Source organism: Homo sapiens, chromosome 7, assembly GCF_000001405.40.
Source record: "Homo sapiens chromosome 7, GRCh38.p14 Primary Assembly".
In the NCBI taxonomy this organism is placed as follows: Eukaryota; Metazoa; Chordata; class Mammalia; order Primates; family Hominidae; genus Homo; species Homo sapiens.
The window spans coordinates 62273834-62294896 of record NC_000007.14 but is presented as its reverse complement, the minus strand read 5'-3'; the positions used below and the strand labels follow the sequence as shown (position 1 = coordinate 62294896).

The following is a 21063-nucleotide window of genomic DNA, read 5'->3' as shown; positions in this document are numbered from 1 at the left end:
TTTTCAGATTTCAATATGATTAAAAGTAATTTTATTTTTCTAGTGCTAATTGAAATATTTTTCCCTTCCTTGTTTACTATTTCTCTAGGAGATACATAGGTGTAGGTTTATCTCCATTGTAGCTTGCTTACATTGCATGGAATTTTTGAATATGCAGATTAGTGTCTTACAAAAGTCTAGGGAACTTTCAAACAAAATACCAACACATATTGTCCCTTCCCAGTTCCCTTCTTCTATGAGAACACTCTCTAAACGCATGCTACACTTTCTCACTGTATCTTCCATGTCTCTTCATCATTCTGTCCACATTTTACATTTTTTCAAATTTTCTGTAATGCATTCTGAAATATTTATGAAATCTCACCTTGGCCATGTCTAATCTGATGAATTCATCTTTGAGTTTTTAATTTAAAATAACTATATTTTTATACAAACTACTTTCCAAATTTGCTACATGAATTTTTTAGTCTCCTAACAATATATTCATTTTTTTTAAATTTTTTGAAAGCAAATGTGCTTTATAATCTAACAGTGATATTTCCACTAATGAACCTTTGTGGATCTGTATGTACTCTTTTTCTGCTTTCCTTTCAAATGGTGGAATATCATTTCCTTGCATACTTAGATGCCTTTGAATGACAAATATTTATTTTTCTCTGAAAATTATTTTTGTGCACTTTTGCAGATTAGTAAATAGAAAATTTGCCAAAGAGAATTTCAATTGTTTTGTGATTCTACTAAAGGCACCACCATTCTGGGACCACATTATATTAATTCTTGGCCTAAAGTTGTTCGGACGTATGTTTGGACTGCACATTTAAACAATTTTTAAATTAGTTGCTGTAAATCATTAACGATTGAGTTTCTTTAAATCTATCCAATCTCAAGTCATTTTTATTTGCCATTTCCAGGGAATGTGAAATGGGACTAATTTACCCCTGATTCTTCTTTATACTGAGGATATAAATTTTGGTCATAGCTTTAGGGAAGAGCTCCTGTGTAATGCCCTATCTTGGGAAAAACTATGTATTTATTTACTGTCCTATGTGATGTATGACAGTAAGAATCTGCACTCATTCATTTTGCTACATGTCCATAGGGCAAAATTAGTTTCGGTGTTTAGTTATATATTGTCTGCTCCCTGCATTCCCATTGTTTTGACCTTATATTTTAATTTTATTTGTGAACATACCAGTGCTTCAAATTTTTTCCAGTAATATATTCAACTATATTATGAGAAAGAGAAAAATTTTGACAAAACACAGATTTCATGTTTTCCTACTCTAATTGGCTTTTACTTAAAAATACAGGTAAAATTTATTTGTGTTTTTTTGCTCTTTCTGTTTTGCTATTCTCTGTTTGTCTATGTCTTCTCCACATAGACACAATTAGGGAATTTTGTACACTCTTGTGCCAACTGCTTTGATAGTAACAAAATGTATTTCTCAAACTCCTAGGTATAAAACTCAAGTATCCACAATTTAAATTCTTTTTTGTTCACTTCTATTATGTTTCCAGTCTCAATAGAAATTGATGCCAATACAGAAATACAAGCATTATTCTAATAATTCTCACACATTACAGGTATAGATTAAATTTTCTAGATCTCCTTAAATACCATCATTTTTCACTATTTGTATCTTAACTGTTAAGTTCAGAATTTTCTATAATATTAATAAGTTGTGAAAATTTCCTTACTCTCTTATTTGTCCCAAGTTCAAGGTTTTGCAGTCTCTACCTCACCCTGTGAAGCATAAACATTGTACTATGCTGTACAAATATTACATAGTTCATGTGCTTAGAGATTGCACAATTTTTATTTGGTTGACAATAGCTAATGTTTTCTTCTTCATTTTCTATTTCCTGATTTTTCTTTATTTAGCATATGCTACATTATCATAAAAATGAGAACGTTTTACAAACTAAAGCAAAAGAAACCCTAGGAAAAAAATGCACAAATAAAATATATAAACATACATTTAGATGTACCATGAACACTTCCAATTTATTTAGACTTTTAATTGTAGTACAATTTTAATTAAAGTCTGTGTATTATCTGCCATCGTCTTAGTATATTTTTATATAACAAATTGTGTAAATCAAGAAGCCTCAATGTCATTATAAACTATCTTGGCAGAGGTTGATCCCCAAGGAATAATTTCTCTCCCAAATTATGTCAATCAGAATTTCACTCTACCATAATTCTTTTAATCAGTTTCAGAGGAATCATAAATTTCAAAACTGTTCAAGGTAGTTGTTGTAGTTCAAGTACATTTAGACAGGTGTAAAACTGTAGACAGACTGATACAAACGTATTCTAATTGACACAAAAGTGTATGGGACCTATTTTAAAATCTAGACTTTAAGATGTCGTGTCAAAGTACCCATGTTCTCCTTGTGAAATAATTGCTTTTTATTCTCTGGATAGAATAATTTAATCTTTAAACCTTCAATTCACTGCAGGAAACAAAATATTGCATAAGGATATGTTTATAAAAATAATTAGCAACTAGTTTTTCAATTCAGAAATATATTTGAAAAATCATCAATCATCTTATGGATTTCAAGGAGAAATGGGTTAGTAATTTATTCCATATGCCTCAATTTTTCCTAGATTCAAGGTTTCTTTTAAAACAATTGTAGGCATTTAAGAAACTATGTAAACTAAAAACGAAATTGTGACACTGCCGCTTAGGTTTTTTAAATCTTTGGACATGAATCAATATACTTTTTAATTTTATCTTAATTAGACATTGTGAGTTCACTATCTTCCTGTAAGTATAGCATCCAAGCTGATTATCATAGATTACAAATTCAACAAACAACTGTGTTCTGAGACTCTAAAAAAATAAATGAATGTATTTGTTTGGGTATTCTTAAAGCAGGAGTGAGGACACAGTGAAAGTAAGACAAGGAAGAGAGAACAAAATAAAACAGGAAAGATAGAAAAGCCAATACCACACGTGTTAAGAGGCAAGATCCTGCGTTAGATATCTGGGCTTAATTCTATGGGAAGCTATGTGGAAGATGCCTCAGAATTACATCACTGAATCCAGGGAGATTCTTCTTAGTTACCCTCACCTTTTCTTCCCACTTCATGCCCAGTATCAAACTCCCGTGCTGCTAGAGAAAGTCCTCAGCTAGAAACAGCTGCAAATTCTGGAGATGACACTCTGTAGAGTGTTAAGAATGGTTTTCTTCCCAGCAGCTACAGGTAAGGAATAGGGGCTGGGCTATTAATACATCTGCTACAAATCAATATACCCCTTATGCTCCTTTTGGTGATCGACAATGTATTTAAAAATATTAGATGATCAAGAAGAGCTGCAGAAAGGAGGAAAAAGAAACAAACAGCACACCTCTTGGTTTATTTTTGTTCATTTCATCAGTTTCAAGGAAAATGTGTTGGGAGTTCCTGGCATAGAGAATGTCACAAAGATATGTTTTCAATAGTGGTGCTATCCCTAGGGCAGAGAAGATCCAGAGAAAGCCCAAGTGGCTGCTGGAACAAAGTCAGACACCGTGCCACCTGTCCACACTCCTTGGCTCTGCCATCATGCTGAAGATTGGTTTAAAGGTCTGGCTTCCCTCCCCGCAAAATTAAAAGAGCACAAACTGAGAAACTGAATGTGGGAGACAGCAGTGGGTTATGCTGTTCTCAGGGGTCACCTCAGGTTTGGAAGCGTTCTTTCAAATTAACCCATCTCAGGCCATCTGCAGAGAAGAAAGGTGGTACCTAACATTTTTTCTTGTCAGCACTTGGTAGGGGTGTTTTATTGACCAAATATGTTCCCACAACCTAGTTTTTTGTAACTAAATATAGTAGATTTTTAAATTTTATCATCAAAATCTATAGACAATTTTTTATTAAAATAGGCTCCACATCTATGTCCTGCTTTTCTTCTTATTAATTACATTGCTGTATGAAAGAACAAGACTTCAGAATCAAGAATATCTTGTCTCTTGGCATTGAATTTATACAAGGTGCTCTTTCTTTAATGCTGTCTCAAAGGGCATATTTTTACTCATTAAAAAGGAAGATCAGAATCTAGTTGTATGCACTGCTCCAACGTATTAATAATTAAAATTAGGATGTAAATGTGGTCAAAGCTATAGAAAGATTTGGGATGTCGTTTATATTGATTACTGTATAGCACTCTACAAACAGAAATTGTGAAATAATAGCTTATATAAATATTTTGTAGCATTTCAAATATTAGAGTGCCTGAAGTTTCTCCTCTTATATAGTTCAGATTATCAATTTGAATAGTTACTCCACTGGTTAAAAAGTTTTTAGTCTCGTTTCAGTATTAATATAAAAGCAATTTTCAGTTAAAAGTGTTCCGCTTACATAAAACATTAGAAACTAGTGAGTATTTAATTACATTTTCGTATTCCTGTAATGCCTTTAGAAGATTTTCATATTATTACCTATCAATATATGTATGCTTTGTCTAAGAAAAATCAATCATATACATCATTGAAATGGAAACTTTTTAAAAGTACTTATTAATTCTATTGAAAAACCACATCCATAGGAGCAATTACAATATAATATTGTGAACATGTAAATATATATCCTATGTCTATTTTATATAGAAGCATATGTGATTAAAAATATAGTTAATAATTTTTAAACCTAGTTTCATAAAGTAAAAATTAGTTAAACTTCTGATGATTATTTGTTAATTAAGATAAAATTATTTTGATTTGGGTGATTTTAAATGAACAAAAATATTAAGTTACATGACAAAAATTATTTATAAAATGTTTACGATTTTTACTTTGGTTTTATCACTTTATTCCATTATTTTATTTTAAGAAGACCTGCCTTATTTAAAACACTGTATTCATCTTAATTAAATTAAATTCCATTTGTAAAAAAGTTAACAAATGATTTGCTCTATTATACAGTGTGGTTATAAACTGAGTCGGTATCTCAAGATTTGATCCCCATTATCGTCATCCATGGCCCTATTTGTTTGATAAATGTACTGTCTTTTTCCATGCCTGTCACATCTCTATTGCTCATTTATTTTTCTCCTTGTCCCTTATAGGGAGCATTGCCTATCTCTAGATTAAGCAAAAGTTGCATCTTAAAAAAGCACAATAACCTGCTCAAACTTTCTCACACAGAGAAATGTTTGTTAAGTAATTAAAGTGTAGATGATGATACAAAGAGCTTGATTAAATAAGATGCCAAAGTACCCTTGTGATTCAGAATATGAATGGTATTTAATGCCTTTGAAATCAATAATTGCTGAGTGACAGTAATTAATGCCAATATTTCAGAAGTTGTTCTGGTTAGTGAAATGTGTACAACATGTAAAAATTTCCGAACTCTGAAGGGCAACATTATTCTTTAATTAAGAATTAAGAATTAATTCACATTAATTATTGGGGAGAAATAATTTCAAGAATTAATGACCGATAAAACGTTTTTATTTTTTATTTAGAAAATTATTTTGTGCATGAGCATTACTGCAAGTTTTGCAAGAAACAAATTTATAGCAACAATTATGTGCACAAGATGAATTTAATAACATCTTGATATTTTCCACTATTACAGTTGTATTTGGTACATCTTTAAATGCCCATCATCTAAAGATCATAAATGAATCTTGGAAATCTTGTAGGTAAGGGTAAATATAAGGACGCATCCAATTACATTTACACACACATACAATTACATTTACACAAGCATACATGCACACACGCTCACTGATACAGGTATGCATATATATACATGAATTTACCAATTGATTTTAACTAATATTTATAAGAGCCTGTAGGATTGATATATATTGTTGAACCTGAAAAATATTTATTATATACATGTTTAAAATACACAAAGAAATAAACAGTAATTGCACTAGGCATTTGAAACTGTACTTAAATATAAGCTGTGATCATTACAAATTCTTACACTGAATAAATATCTTTATTTTTATAATATGATACATGTGTACATTTTTTAAAATGTATTATTTTTGTCATAGAGTCATGTCATGCATAATAATATTTCAGTCAAAGGTGGATTACATATACAAAAGTTGTCCCATGAGATTATAATACATATTTTTACATACTTTTCTATGTTTAAGTATGTTTACATACATAAACTCTTACCACTGTGTTCTTATTGCCTGCAGTATTCAGTATAGTAGTGTAGTACACAGGTTTGTAGCCTAGGAGAGAGAGGTTATACCATATAACCTAAACGTGGTAGGCTGTACAAACTAGGTGTTTGTAATATTTTCTCTGACGTTTGCAAAATGATGAAATTGCCTATGGATGCATATGTTAGAACGTATCCCTGTCATTCAGTGATGCGTGACTGTGCTGAAATGCTCAATCTAAGTTTCAATGACCTCCATAACATTGTTGTACTGTGAAATACAAATCTCTAACCTATGGCCTGAATATGTTTGCAAACTAAGCAGATCATGGGAAGGAGAATGTGCTGGAATCGCTGGGAAGATTTTCTCACACTACCTGAATAATATCTCCAGACTTTGCGAATATGAGCCACTTGCATAGAGTTAAAGTAAGCATCTCTTTGCTGGGAAATTTATCAAATGGGATTATGAAGTGTTTTCAAATGATACTTGTTTGTTTGTAGACGGTAGGCCTACAGTGGCTCATGGCAATGGTTGAGGTTGCTAAGATTTGGTGGAAGAAGGCAAAATGAAATGGCCACTTATATGGTATATGGATCACATGTTTCTGTTGAGTTACAGATTCAGCTGGCTATTTCTCCCAATGTTAGTTATTTGGAGAAAAGAAACATGATAGTAATTTTGGGGTAACAAATACAATATTTGATGAAAGCAAATTTATTGAGGGTTAGACAAACTACAAGATAATTTAGGCTGCAAAGTCAACACGAGGCTTCTGGCCCAAATTGTGCAGAGTTTGGGTCCAGCTGCAAAGTTCAAAGGAAGAGGCCATATAAGATGATTCGCATTTTTGTCACCAACTGCCAGTTCAGGGGTTTCCCCAGAACACCCTCAGTTTCAAGAATTTACTAAAAAGACTCACAGAACTCATTGAATGCCATTGTACTCATAGTTTATAATAGAGAAAGGGTAGAAATTAGGACCAACCAAAGGAAGAGACATTTCACATAAGGTGGAATCTAGGAGGATTTTGAATGTTAATTTTCCATTGTCTTCAGGACATATTACCTGTCATTGTTGTACAGCAATAAACATGGAGTACTACCAACCTGGGGAGCTCACCTGATGCTAAAAAGACACTATTTAGAAAATGAAAAGACAAAGGAAAGGAGGAGATAAGATGACCTTCCACATTAAGGCACTGGAAAGTATAGCAAAATAAACCTAAAGCCAGCAGAAGGAAGAAAATAAAAATTAGAGAAATTAATAATTTATAATATTAATCATATTTGTTAGTATTGACTAATTGATATTAATTCTTGACTGACTTTTTTTAAAAAGAGAAATATTCCCTTCCCAATTTATTCTGTGGGGCCAGTGTTACCTTGATACAAAAATTAGTCCAAATAGCATAGAAAAATAAAACTACTATAAGTATAAATGCAAAATTCCTTAAAAAATACTAAAAAATCAGATCTAGCAACATATAAAAGAATTATACACTATGACAAGGTGAAATTTATACTAGTAATCTCAGGTTGGTTTAACAGCCCAAAATCCATTAAGGTAATACATCTTATCCATAGAATAAGAAACGAGAACTGCATGATCATCTCGATAGATTCCGAAAAGACATTTAACAAAATCCAAATGCTTTAATGATTAAAAATAAAAATAAAAACTCAATGAACCAGGAAGAGAGAACTTTCTACACCAGATACATGGCACCTGCGAAAAGCCAACAGCAAGCATGCAACTTAATGGTAAAGGATGCTTTCCCGCTATGGTCAGAGATAAGAATAGGATATATAATTGGACCTCTTCTAGTTAACACTGTACTAAAGATTTTATGCAGGGCAAATCGGCAACTAAAAAAAAAGAGTCACCCATATTGAATAGGAAGAAATAAAATTTTATTTGAAAATAACATTCTTGTATATAGAAAATTTTAAGGAATCCACTGAACGATAGAACTCGTAAATTATTTCAGCAATATTACAGCATACAAGATAAATGTACAAAAAAATCAATTGCACACACCTACAATGAAAACCCCAAAATGAAATTAAGAAAACACTTCAATTTAAAATAGCATCAAAAAAATAAATAATAATTAATTTGGAAAATGTGATACAAGATTTTACTCTGAAAATTAAAAATTATTGTTTAAAGAATATCTAAATAATTAGCAAACATCTTCCACCCATGAACTGGAAGATTTAATATTGTAGTACTTTGCAAGTTGAACTACAGATTTGACGTAATCCCTGCAAGTATCCCAACAGACTTCTGTCTAGAAACGGACAAGCTGATTCTAAAATACACATGGGATTGTAAGGGACTCAAAATAGCCAAAATAGTCTTGATAAAAGAAAACATATTAGGATAACTCACACCCCCGTGCTCCAAACCTTACGGCAAAGCATCAGTAATCAAGACAACAAAATACTGATGAAGGAAAAATATATAGATTGATGGAAGAGAATTGAGAGTCCATATATAAAACTATGTATCTATAGTCAATGGATTCTTAAAGTGGTGCCATGTGCAATTCAATGAGGAAGAGACAGTCTTTGAACAAACTGGGTCAACAATGTACACGTGGATCGCCACTTGCAAAATAGTAAATTGGAAGCCTTACCCCAAAGCATACAAAAATATTAACTCAAATGAATTAAAGACATGCATGCAAGAGCTTGAATAAAGCATATGCAAAAATCTTCAGGATTTTGGATCTAGCAAAGAAATATCTGTAACCCCAAAAACATGAGCAACAAAATAAAAATTAGATATTTAAAATTTCTTAAAAATTAAAGACATTGGTGTTTCAAAGGACAACCAAGCAAGTCAAAAGGCAGCTCAAAAATTGTGAGAAAATATTTGAGAAACACATATCTATATGTCTGCATATATATGTATCTTGAATATAGAAAAATTGTTTTAATTCAGTAACAAAAATCCCAACTCAAAACTGATAAATGATAGGAATAGATGTGTAGCCCAAGAAGATACACGAACGGTCAATAATCCCATAAAAACATACTCAACAACATCACTCATCAGGCAACTACAAATCAAAACCACAGTTAAATACTCTATGGCTAGAACTGGCCACTTTGGAAAATAGGTTGATGGCTTCTAAATATATGAAACATAGAATTGTCATATGACCCAGAAATGTATTCCTAGGTATACCCCCAGAGTATACAGATTTGTGGTTGCTTAGGATTGAGTAGGGGATGAGTGCATAGGAGGGTAACAGCTAGAGAAGGTGGGGTTTCTTTTTGAAGTGATGAAAATGCTCTAAAATTCATTGTGCTGATGGCTCCACTTATCTGTGTATATACTAAAAGCCATTGACTTGTAGACATTAATATGCGCACTCTACAGTATGTAAATTATATCTCAATAAATCCTTTCAAAAATACACAAAAGACTAATGGGTTTTGGAATGTTGCAGCTGGGAGGCAGTTTGAAATACTGAATAGGTCTCATCGAGAATGTGAGGTTTCAGTAAAGACTTGAGGAAGTTGAATGAGCTGATCAATGCATATATGGAAGGTTATCTTTCAAAGCCAAGAAATTAACTAGAGTCTTGGTCATAAGACAGCAGCATGTTGGCATGTCCAGAGGACAGTGAGGTGGCCAGGACCACTGGTAAGATCAAGGGTGAAGACATAAAAGAATTTTGGCGGTTAACATGCGGCAGATCACGATGGGCTTGCAGAGCATTGTAAGAATTGTATCTTTTAGTGTAAATGAAATGAGGAGACAAATCATTATCCCATTATCAATATTTTAATAAATTGGATCCATGAACCAAATCCAATGAGATTAAATCAATTAGTAATAATATGCAAATTTGTATTAAAATTACAAGAATTCCTTGCACATTTGAGAACAGGAGAGTCATGATTGTTTATCAGCAATAATAAACTATTAATTTTAATTGTCATCAGCTAATTGAGATTAATTGCAATACATCATGCTTTATAATGTGACTGTCAAAAGGAAAATATGATTTTAATCTTATACTACATCTATCAATGTCTTTGATTCATAGGTCTATAGAATAAGCCCCTAGTTTTCAAAGCCAACTGATGAGGCAGCGACATCTTATGCAAGTTTGCTGCTTTCTGCCACAGTGGTCCTTGGTCAGCTGGCACAAGTTGTTTTACCAACACCACTAGGTCTAAAAAACGTTTGGATCACAATGAACACAGAAACACCTTCATCCCTTCAGAAATACCTATCAATTAGTTCCAATACAGAATGAAAAATTGACAACGGAAGTATGTTGATTGTAAAAATGCCAGATAGCTTGCATCTACATGAAAGAAAAATGCCATTTTTATTACATTAGATCATTGTTTTACATGAGTTTTGGTATAGCACAATGTTGCACCAAGGGCAAAGAGAGATGAATTAATGAAGTCTTAAGATATCAAGAATTTGAAAGAAAAGGCAGGTCATCTTTGAAGGTTAGTGACATAGCATTCATCTTCTGTTGTCACCTTTTCCGTCATTCCCTGTATGCCTGATGGACCGCTTTCACTCAAGTTCAGAGAACAGCATGCAAAGATTAGCTACCAACTTTTTGTTATGAAGTGAGCTTAAATTCAAGCCAGACTGAGCTTACGTTTTAGCAGGAAGCATTTTTGGGAAATGTTTATGTTAGAGATTGCCCTTCTTGACAAGGTGAGACATAAATGTCTACTTTATAAACATGAATTTATATGGGAAGATATTTGAGGGAAACATTTTCTCAAATGCTAAATAACAAAGGTACACAAAGGGGAAATTATACTAGATTTATTTCCCACTTGTTTTCTATGTCTCATGCAATTCACCTTGATTCCCTTCAGTTTCTGTTTAATGTAGAAAGCGGCGTTTTCATTATTTTAAGCTTCTAGCACAATGAAAGTATTTCTCTTTTTCATGAACTGCATCATAAATGAAAGGGAGGAAGAGTGTCCAATATCATATTTATTGTTCAACAAAACACTGCTCCACTGCTTAAATTCGGTTTAAAAAAGAGAATTTATTGAACATCTAACACATACATAAAAGGCAGTAAAGACAAATGAGAAGAGGGCAGGATATTGAAGTATACAGACTTTAATGCTAAGTTTTGTATCTTAGTAAGTTACTGCACCTTACAGAGACTCAATTCCCCCTGATTTAGGAAGGCGATGCTAATGGGTATTGCATAGGTGTAAGTATAAAAATGTTGTATTTAAGAGAATCCCACAAGCTTGGTATAAGGCAGAAAATAAATAGGTGTGACATTCATGAGTAGTTTATTACATTTGTACGCTACCTGCAGACTAGAGGAAGCAAGAAACACAGCCACAATGCTTGATTAGCATTATATTCTAATTTGGAATATAAATAGAAAAGAGAAAAATAGAAAGCTATGCATAAACACATGCATTAAAATGAATTTTATGTGGACTCTTTCAGGAAAATGTTCCTAAGGTAGTTTATTTTTTTATTGTGGTAAAATACACATAACATAAAATGTACTCTGTTAACCATTTTAAGTGTACAGTTCAGTGGTACTAGAGTCATAACATTGTGCAGCCATCACTACCACCCATCTCCATAACTCGTTTCAACTTGTGAAACTGAAACTCTATACCCATTAAACAGTATTTCCCCATGTCTTCCTCTCCCCAGCTTCTGGCAATCATCGTTTTAGTATCTCTGTGATTCTGTCCCTTTTAAGTCTCTTATACAAATGGAATTATACTGTATTTGTCCTTCACTGACTAACTTATTTCACTTGGCATAATATCCTCAAGTTTCATCCAAGTTGCAATATATGTCAGTATATTTCCCTCATGATTAAGGCTGAATAATTTTCCATTGTATGTATGTATCATGTTTTGCTTATCCATTCATCTGTTGTTGAACACTTCAATTGCTTCTACGTTTTAGCTATTGCCAATAATGGTGCATGCAAACATGGATGTGCAAATATTTTTTCAATACTCTGCTTTGAATTCTTTTGCTATCTTGAGATGTGGGGCTGCCGAATCATAAGGCAATACCATTTTGATGTTTTGAGGAACTACCATACTCTTTTCCACAGCAAACATAGGGTTTGGCATTCCCTCCAATATTGCAAAATGAATCGCCACATCCTTGCCTGTGGATTTTATTCACAATTCCTGTGGCCCTCTCTACATCCCGGCCACCATGTGTTGTTTCCTGTTTATATATATGACATCAAAGGTGCAGGAAGTAATGAACTAAATTGGAAGGATAAACATGTAGAAAAATAGAGGTAAATACTGACTACATAAAACCATAAGAATAAGAATTTTGGATGATCTATCTATTATATATCTATTTATCTAACATCTATCTGTTCCTCCATCTGTAATTAAAATACATTACAGTTAGAGAACAGAGAAAAAAGTAGGAATACATGAATTTAAATTTTAATTCTTCTTAGATTGTCTCACAGCATCATTATAAGACAGAAAATTTATAGGTCAGTATCTGTTAACTATAAATGTAACATTTTTAAAGTATTCAAATACATTGAATTACAGCATGAATAACATATTACAATCCATTCAAGTTTATTTTGTTCCAGGAACACAAAAATACAAATTTCATTTGCAATTCAAGAAAAATAGAAATCGAAACATATGAGGTATATACACATTTAATGTATTTTTAAATATACATTTTTAAAAAATAAAATTTTTCTAGGACAACTACTTAAAATATCTCACTGAAAATAGTGTTATTAGATAATACCTTCCTAATAACTCTGGTATTACATAAGAAAACAAAATCAAAATTTCAGAGAAGCTTAGAAACTAAAAATTTTAAAAATATTATTCTGTCCTCCATATGTTCATATTTAATATTATTTCTTGCTTTCATTCTTCTTCAGTGTTGCTCTACTAAAATATAACATACAATAGTTACTTTTGATTTCTGTTCTTATTACTCAAAATTTTATACATTTTCTCATGCTCTTCATTTAGCTATGCTACTTTTCTTTACTCCTGGAATTTTCACATTTGTGTTCACTCTCTTTTGAGTTCCCATAGTATCAAATAAGCTGTTTGCCCTCTTTCTGATTTGAAGGTTCATCTTCTCATAATTATTTTGTCCATTCAGTTTCTTTTCATTCTCAGTTAAGTGCCTCTCATCTGGCTTCTTTTCATTTGTAAGGTTTCCTTTCATCTTAAGCCAGTCTTTTATTTATATTTTGATTCTGTTTTTTGGAGGACATGCTTCCCTGAATTTTAAGGGAGAGGCCAAAAGGTTTGTTCAAGTTTTTACCTGACACATTGGATTAAATTATCTAATGTACACACCCTTAATTTAAGTCTAGGGGCGACTGTGTCTACTCTCGATTTTGTATAGTATTATTTTTCTTAACATCCAAGTCCATCTTCATCTATTTGTATATGATCAATAAAAATATATTTGTCCAGAACCCTGCTTTGGTGGAGTTACTTCTTTCTAAGTAGGAGAGGTAGCAGTTGAGACATGAGCTGGGTTCTGGGTCAGTTTAGAGGGCTGGGCGACATTCCTCCTTTTGGTCTGTATGACTGAATGAATGCGGTTCTTGCTGTCTCGCTCCTCTCCTTAACACATTGAGCCATTGCAGCAGATGAGAAGGAATAATCCTGATCTGCCATTCAGGTGGAACACTTTTCTCTCCAACCACATCCATAGGTTGTACTCACACTCGGCCAGAATGTATCCTGTCAATCATATGGAGATGTATCTAGCTATCTAGATAGATATCTACTTTGGTTTATGCTCTCTGGTTGCCCGTAAATTATCTCCTTAAAGTGAATATCAAAAGAGAGCTTGGTGATGGCAGTGTTATAAAATCCTCAAATGCAGCACCCACACGCAGAGGAATTTGTAGATTCTGGGATTCTAATTCAGATACCAAACTACATAAAACGGGCATTGGTCATTGAGGGTTGCTAGGCTCTTTGTGGAGCATATTTGCTCTTTTCATGACTTTAAAATTATTTTAAAAATCTAACCTTTTTCTCAGTGTGCTGCAAGATGATTTGATTTTAATGCACAAGCACTAATTCTCCCCTAAGGTTTGTACAATATATTTGCTCTGACAAGCCATAGCCAGCAACTCACTTCACAGCAATTTATAGCATTTCCACGACAATTTGAATTATTTTTAACTAGACTCTCTTTGCCTTAATAAAAATATGAAGAAACAATATACTTGTTCTAGTTAGGTTCAAAAGTTGGCAGTCTCTCTCCTGGAAAGAATAATAAAACTTTTCAGCGGCCTAATATGCATCTATAGACACACACACATGCAAGCACTATTCATAATATTTAAAGCACATTCTGTTCTATGACTTCATTTGTCTAGCACAAAATAAAACGATCTCAGTATATGTCAAGTACCAATTTTTTTCGTATGGCCAATTATAGGTATTTTATTTTTTTAAAGATTAGAGTGTTCTTGAAGCTCTTTCTATTTCTTTGTCAATGAACTAAACATTGGCAAATATGTAGGGTTTCCCACATAAGAACATTATTAACATCAAAATAGAAAGCTGGTGGCAGAAATAATGATTGGGAACACAGAGTCTCTACTCAGCGTTCTACTTCTGCCATACCATAACTTTGTGATCTCACGAAATATCTCTCCATGTTCTCATCCCTATGTATAGTTCTGTCATTTTTCAATAAGAGCTTTTTGCTTAATTATGAAGTACTAGTTACTATACCCATTATTTTGAGCTTCATGTAAATCAAGAACACACGGACTCCACTTGCAAAACATTGAAAATGTAGTCAGGGATTGGGGGCACAAAGCAACATTTTAAAATGTGTAAAGACAATGAGTAAGCAACAAAGTGTCCAATTTTTTAGGTGAAAGTTGCATACGTCAGGAAAAGCCAGGATTAAGTAACAGAGAATTTGAACGATAACTGGCCAATTGGTGTCGTTTACAATTGCAAGTCATACAAATGAAGTTTGCTTTTTAAAGAGAAAAGGAGTTAGTTAGAATGGGTCAACCTATTGGGGAAGCAATGTAGTTAGAGACAATGCCCAAAACCATGTGAGCAAATGCTCTGTAGAGCGCACCCCTGCAATGCTGCCATTGTGAGGCCAAGTCTCTCCTTGTCTTGGTACTGAGACCTCCATTCTGCCTCCATCATTGCCACTGTAGCTGCCACAAAATGATCCCTCAACCACCGCTGCCCAGGAACAAAGAAAGAATTCTGTCCTTCCGCGCTCTCAGATCAATTTCCAACATCAGGTGAGACTTTGATGGGCACTATTCAGTTCCCATATCCCTGAAATAGATGCAGTAAAAACAGAAACTGCCTATGTGTTTCCCAATAAGACACATATGGAAGACTGTTTTCCCACGACAGGAAGGGGTTTCCACGATGGGTGCTCAAAGGAACAATATTCCCTGTAAACCATACTTTGCCCATATGAAGAAGAGCAATAAGGATTATTTAGTAAATAGACATGGAAACTCATCCAGGGTTGGCTGATGAGAAGCTGGTTAGCAAGGGGTGTGCCTTCAGTTAGGACAAGGTCTGTGCTTCCCACGGGTTCTCTCCACAGCAGGAGGGATGCAATCTTCCCTTTCCTCCCCTGCACCTACCCTCAAATGGCCCAGAGGTCTTCAGGAGCTAGAATTTCTCAATTAATGCTGCACAAAATAACAGACAGCCTTGACTGTCACTGTCTGTTCTCATGAAGCTAGTCTCTGCTTACTACATAAAACAGAAGTGTAAGAACAAGGGTGTTAAACACTACCCTAGCTCAAACAAGTTTCTCTCTGTAGGATGCCAAGAACCTGGGAACCAGTGCATCTGTTGCTTTCCCTTCTCAGATTCTAGCCCAGACACAAGAGGCAAGGGGCATTTCTTCAGAGGCCTTGAGCTTCACTACACAATGACCCAGGCTCTACATGCACCCTCTTTATATATTTCTACCTCGAAAAAAATTTTTATATAATATTAATAATATATATTTTTACATAAGGAACACATATGTTTATTTTATAGATACATATAGATATACATAGATAAAGATCTCTAGTCTGCCTTTTTGAAGGCTGGGCTGATCGCGGTGCCCCAAAACTATAATCCCAGCACTTTGGGAGGCCAAGGTGGCCAGATCTCTTGAGTCCAGGAGATGGAGATCAGCCAGGGCAACATGGTGAAACCCTATCTTTACAAAAATTAGCTAGTATGGTGTCATGCACTTGCAGTCCCTGCTACTCAGGAGACTGAGGTGGGAGAATCGCTTGAACACAGTATGTGAAGGCTTCAGTGAGCTCTGATCACATGACTGCACTCCATCTTGGGTGACAAAGTGAGACCCTCTCTCAAAATAAAATAAAATAAAAAGGCTACCACCATACTCACAGTTAAGTGTGTCAGGTATATTTGCAGCTATCTTTCCTATATTCTATTTGGTAAAAAAAAAAATTGCAAAGAACTCTTCTCATTCTAGATTTTTGTATTAATTAGACATTTGAAGTTTATAGCAGAAGAGCTATAATCATGTTTGGTATGTGTACTCTATAGACCAGATAGTGCACACATATATCAATGCTTTTTAAAAGTATATAAGGTTATTAGAAATATTTTAAAATACCTATAGGTATATATGTATCTAGTTGAACTATCAAATGCAAGTAAGATCATTTCCTTAGCGTGTGAAATGCACTCAATTTATTAAAATATTTTCTAATGTCTATTACAATAATATTTCTTAATTAGCTAACATAAGAGGAGTTTTAAGACATTTATTTATATGTACTTACTAGATTCAAACTCGATTCCACTATTTTCAGAAATCATGCTCCGAGACAAGTCCTTTTTTTATCTAACTATGTTTCTACCTATATTAAAAGACAGATATGTCAATTTTGCTAATCATGCTGTTCCAAACCTCTCCATCCTATTTTTCGGTTTGTTCTATCAGTCATTCAAAGACTTACTTATATTCAAATTTCTCTCTAGGTTTAACATTTGTGTATGTCTTCTTGTGTTTTTTTCTATTTTTGCTGTATATAATTTAAGACATTTATTGACATATATCATACATGCAGAAAAGTACAATGATTAAATATGGATAGCTTCATTAATGAAACACATGTATTTGCTTATAACCATGTATGAAAATAGAACATTACTAAAAATAGAGATACTTCTCCTGCCCCTTTCCAAACACTAACCCTCATCCTCAATAGTAACAAATTTTATCATAGAGTAATTTGGTCTATTTTCAAATTTTTATTAAATAAATCAGAGTATCTACTCTAAGTCTATGTTTCTTTCACTGTTGTTATTTTGCTTATAGTATTTATCTGCTAATGGACATGGTAGATTAAAGACGGCTACATACACATTTTTTAATTAATAGATTTTTTGAGCACCCTGTGGCTCATGCCTCTAATCCCACCACTTTGGGAGGCTGAGGTGCATGGATCATGAGGTCAGGAGATCGAGACCATCCTGGCCAACGTGGTAAAACCCCTTCTCTACTAAAATACAAAAAATTAGCTGATAGATAACATCAAGATAACATGTGGGTTCTTAGCTGCACTGAGTCAAGCCTACTTACATCTTTGTTTGTCTTCCTCTGCACTTTTCCTTCCACATCACACTCCAGGAATGCCAAGCTGTGCTGGCATTCTACCCGATTTCGACTATTTTGCCCCCGCCAACGCGGCTTTTTGCCGCCGTGGATTTTTGACCCCGCCGCTGCGGGTTTTTGTTGCTTTCTGCCCCCGCCGCCGTGGCTTTCTGCCCCCGGCCTCGCGGAATTTAGCCCCTGCCGCCAAGGCTTTTTGGGGCTCTTTGCCCTCGCCGCCGTGGCTTTTTGTCCCCGCAGCTTTTTGCGTCTTTCTCCCCCCGCCGCCGCGGCTTTTTGCCCCAGAAGCCACAGCTTTTTACCCTCACCGCCGCGGCTTTTTGCGGCTTTTTTCCCCCTGCTGCCGCAGCTTTTTGCCCCCGCCACCGCGAATTTTTCTGCCGCGGCTTTTTGTCACCACCGCCATGGCTTTTTGTGGCTTTTGGCCCCCGGCGCCGCGGCTTTTTACTGCTTTACGCCCCCGCCGCCGCCACAGGTTTTTCCCGCCGCGGCTTCTTGCCCCGCCTCCCCGGCTTTTTGTGGCTTTTTGCCGCCGCGGCTTTTTGGCCTCGCCGCCGCGCCTCCTTGCCCCCTACGTGGCTTCCTGCCCCCTCCGCCACAGCTTTTTATCACCCCAGCCGATTTTTGCCCCCGCCGTCGTGGCTTTTTGCCGTCCCTGCTTTTTGCCCCCTCTGCCGCGGCTTTTTGGGGCTTTTTACCCACTCTGCCGTGGCTTTTTGCAGCTTTTGGCACCAGACACCGTGGCTTTTTGAGGCTTTTTGCCCCCGCCGCCGCGGCTTTATGCCGCCGCCGCACCGTTTTGCCCCCGCCGCCACATCTTTTTGCCGCCGTGGCTTCTTACCCCGCCACCGCGGCTTTTTGACCCCGCTGTCGCGGCTTTCTGACCCCGACGATGCGGCTTTTTATGGCTTTTCGCCCCCATCACCGCAGCTTTTTGCCCCCGCCGCCGCGGCTTTTTGCCCCCGCCACCGCAGCTTTTTGTCGCCGCGGCTGTTTGCCTCGGCCGCCATGGCTTGTTGCCCCCGCCGCCGTGGCATGTTGCCCCCATCGCCCCGGCTTTTTCCCCCACCGCCCCGGCTTTTTGACCCCACCGTTGCGGCTTTTTGCGCCCGCCGCCGCAACTTTTTGCGGCTTTTTGCCCCCGCCGCCGCGGGATTTTGCCCCCATCACCGCGGCTTTTTCCCCGCCGCCGCGGCTTTTTGCCGACGCAGCTTTTTATTCCCACCGCCACAGGTTTTTACCGCTGCGGCTTTTTCACCCCGGCATCGCGGGTTTTTGCCCCCACCGCCGTGGCTTTTTGCCCCAACCGCCGCGGGTCTGAGGGCGGGATCGGCAGACTCGGCTGCCAGATCTACCGGACTCCTGGCTAAGGACCAGGGTCACTCCTGGTCCAGCTCTCCCGGTTCAGGGGTTCCTTGCCTAGACACCCGCGCCCCAGGCTCTGTTCCTGGGCCGCTGCAGCCTGCATAGAGCGGCGCTGCGCTCGGCCCCGATGGGAGGGAAGAAGGAGAGCGGTGGAGGGGGTGACACAGCTATTGCAGAGGGAGGCGCAGGGGCCGCAGCCAGCCGGGTGCTGCAGCAGTGCGGGCAGCTCCAGAAGCTCATCGGCATCTCCGTTGGCAGCCTGCATGGGCTGCGCACCAAGTGTGCTGTGTCCAAGGACGTCACCCAGCAGGAGATATGGACCCTGCAGGTTAGGGGGTTGGGGACCAGGGCTGGGTTCCAGCAACGGACTGGACATCTCCCTCGGGGCCCCAGTTCATTCCTGGCCGAGTTGCATCCTTGAGCCCGTGTCACCCCCTTGGAGGCTTCTCCTCCCTCCTGCACTCGCTGATGTTGGAGCCGGAGGACCCAGGACCAGCCCTCACCTTGGGCAGGATTTGTGGGGCGGGTGCGTGTTGGGAACTGTGATGGAAGCTCGAGGGGCCCGTGGGCGGGGTGGGCTGCGCGCGGACATCCCCTTACGCCCCGAATTTCCATCTGGTGCAGCCTTCTCATCTTGTAGGTGAGGAAACCGAAGGCCTGAGGGAGAAATGACTTGCCAGGAACCCCTGTTAAGGAAAATTAACAAAGTGTGGATATCAAAGGAGAACTGAGTTCGGATTCAGACCTGGAGTCCCACACCCTTGGTTAAGACATTATACCACCTTGAGTCTGGCCTGTTGACTGAGGGTGAGCCACTCCATCCTCATCTGATTGTGGGGTCTTGACCTCAAGGGGTTTCCTGCAGGAAGAAGCAAATGGGTTTGCTTTCCTAGCTCTGTCCAGTACCTTAGGGACCCTGAGAACTGGAGAGATTCTTGGAGAGCCGTCTGGTGTATGTCATGGGTGAGCCTTGTTTGAAAGACAGTCTGCCCAGTGGGCTGGCTCAGCCTGAATGAACTGTCTTGAATCTTTGGAGATGTCTGTGTACTTTTAAGGGTTTCTCATCCTTGCACCAAAAGATCCCCTGGAAATTAGGTGGGAAACCTTAACTTTTGTGGAGCCTTGTATTTGTCTTAAAAGTTCATGCACATAGCAAGGTGTGGTGGCTCACACCTGTTATCCTGTCCTGGATCCCTTGAGTCAAGGAGTTTGAGACCAACCTGGACAATATAATGAGACCCCATCTCTATAAAAAATAAAATGTTAGCCAGGAGTGGTTGTGCGCATCTGTAGTCCTAGCTACTACGGTGGCTGAGGTGGGAGGAGCACTTGAGCCTACACTGAGCTGTGATCTCACCAGTGTATTCCAGCCTGGGCCACAGAGCAACACCTTGACTCAAGAAAAAAAAAATCAACAAGAAAAATTCTTGAAGATTTTGCATTCTGTCCCACTATCCATTGGTTTTCATGTCAAGATAATGTCAGAAATTCTTTACAATTGCTTCCAGAAGGAGTAGCCATTTGATCTAGTGCACAGGTGTCCAGTCTTTTGGCTTCTCAGGGCCACATTGGAAGAAGAATGCTCCTGGGCCACAGATAAAATACACTACTGCTAATGATAGCTGATGAGCTTAAAAAAAAAAAGTTTGTGCATAATTTTCATGATACCCACCACCACAGATAGGCAGAAATATCCTTGTAGTCAAAGGGTTGGACAGGGCTGATCTAGTGTCTTGTCGTCCGTTTTGGCTTTCTCCCTGACTCCAGAATGCAGGTAGAGATGTAGAGACATGCTCTCAGGACAGCTGTTGAGATAAAAAAAATTCGCTGTCATTTATTCCCAAGGACAGCTGTTTGCCATTTGCATTGAAAAAGTCTCCATTCAAACTGCTGTCACATATAAAATCTATTTATATGTCTGTATTTTTCTGTTGTCTTGGCC

General features: G+C 37.1%; 2 annotated features.

Annotated features, from left to right (window-relative positions):
• Positions 13434-13987: an enhancer, noted in NCBI's record as "OCT4-NANOG hESC enhancer chr7:61816084-61816637 (GRCh37/hg19 assembly coordinates)". NCBI's record gives its function as "activates a minimal SCP1, AML or CMV promoter by ChIP-STARR-seq in naive H9 embryonic stem cells {active_cell/tissue: H9 hESC(naive)}" and the evidence as "EXISTENCE:reporter gene assay evidence [ECO:0000049][PMID:30033119]".
• Positions 17913-18413: an enhancer, noted in NCBI's record as "H3K4me1 hESC enhancer chr7:61820563-61821063 (GRCh37/hg19 assembly coordinates)". NCBI's record gives its function as "activates a minimal SCP1, AML or CMV promoter by ChIP-STARR-seq in primed H9 embryonic stem cells {active_cell/tissue: H9 hESC(primed)}" and the evidence as "EXISTENCE:reporter gene assay evidence [ECO:0000049][PMID:30033119]".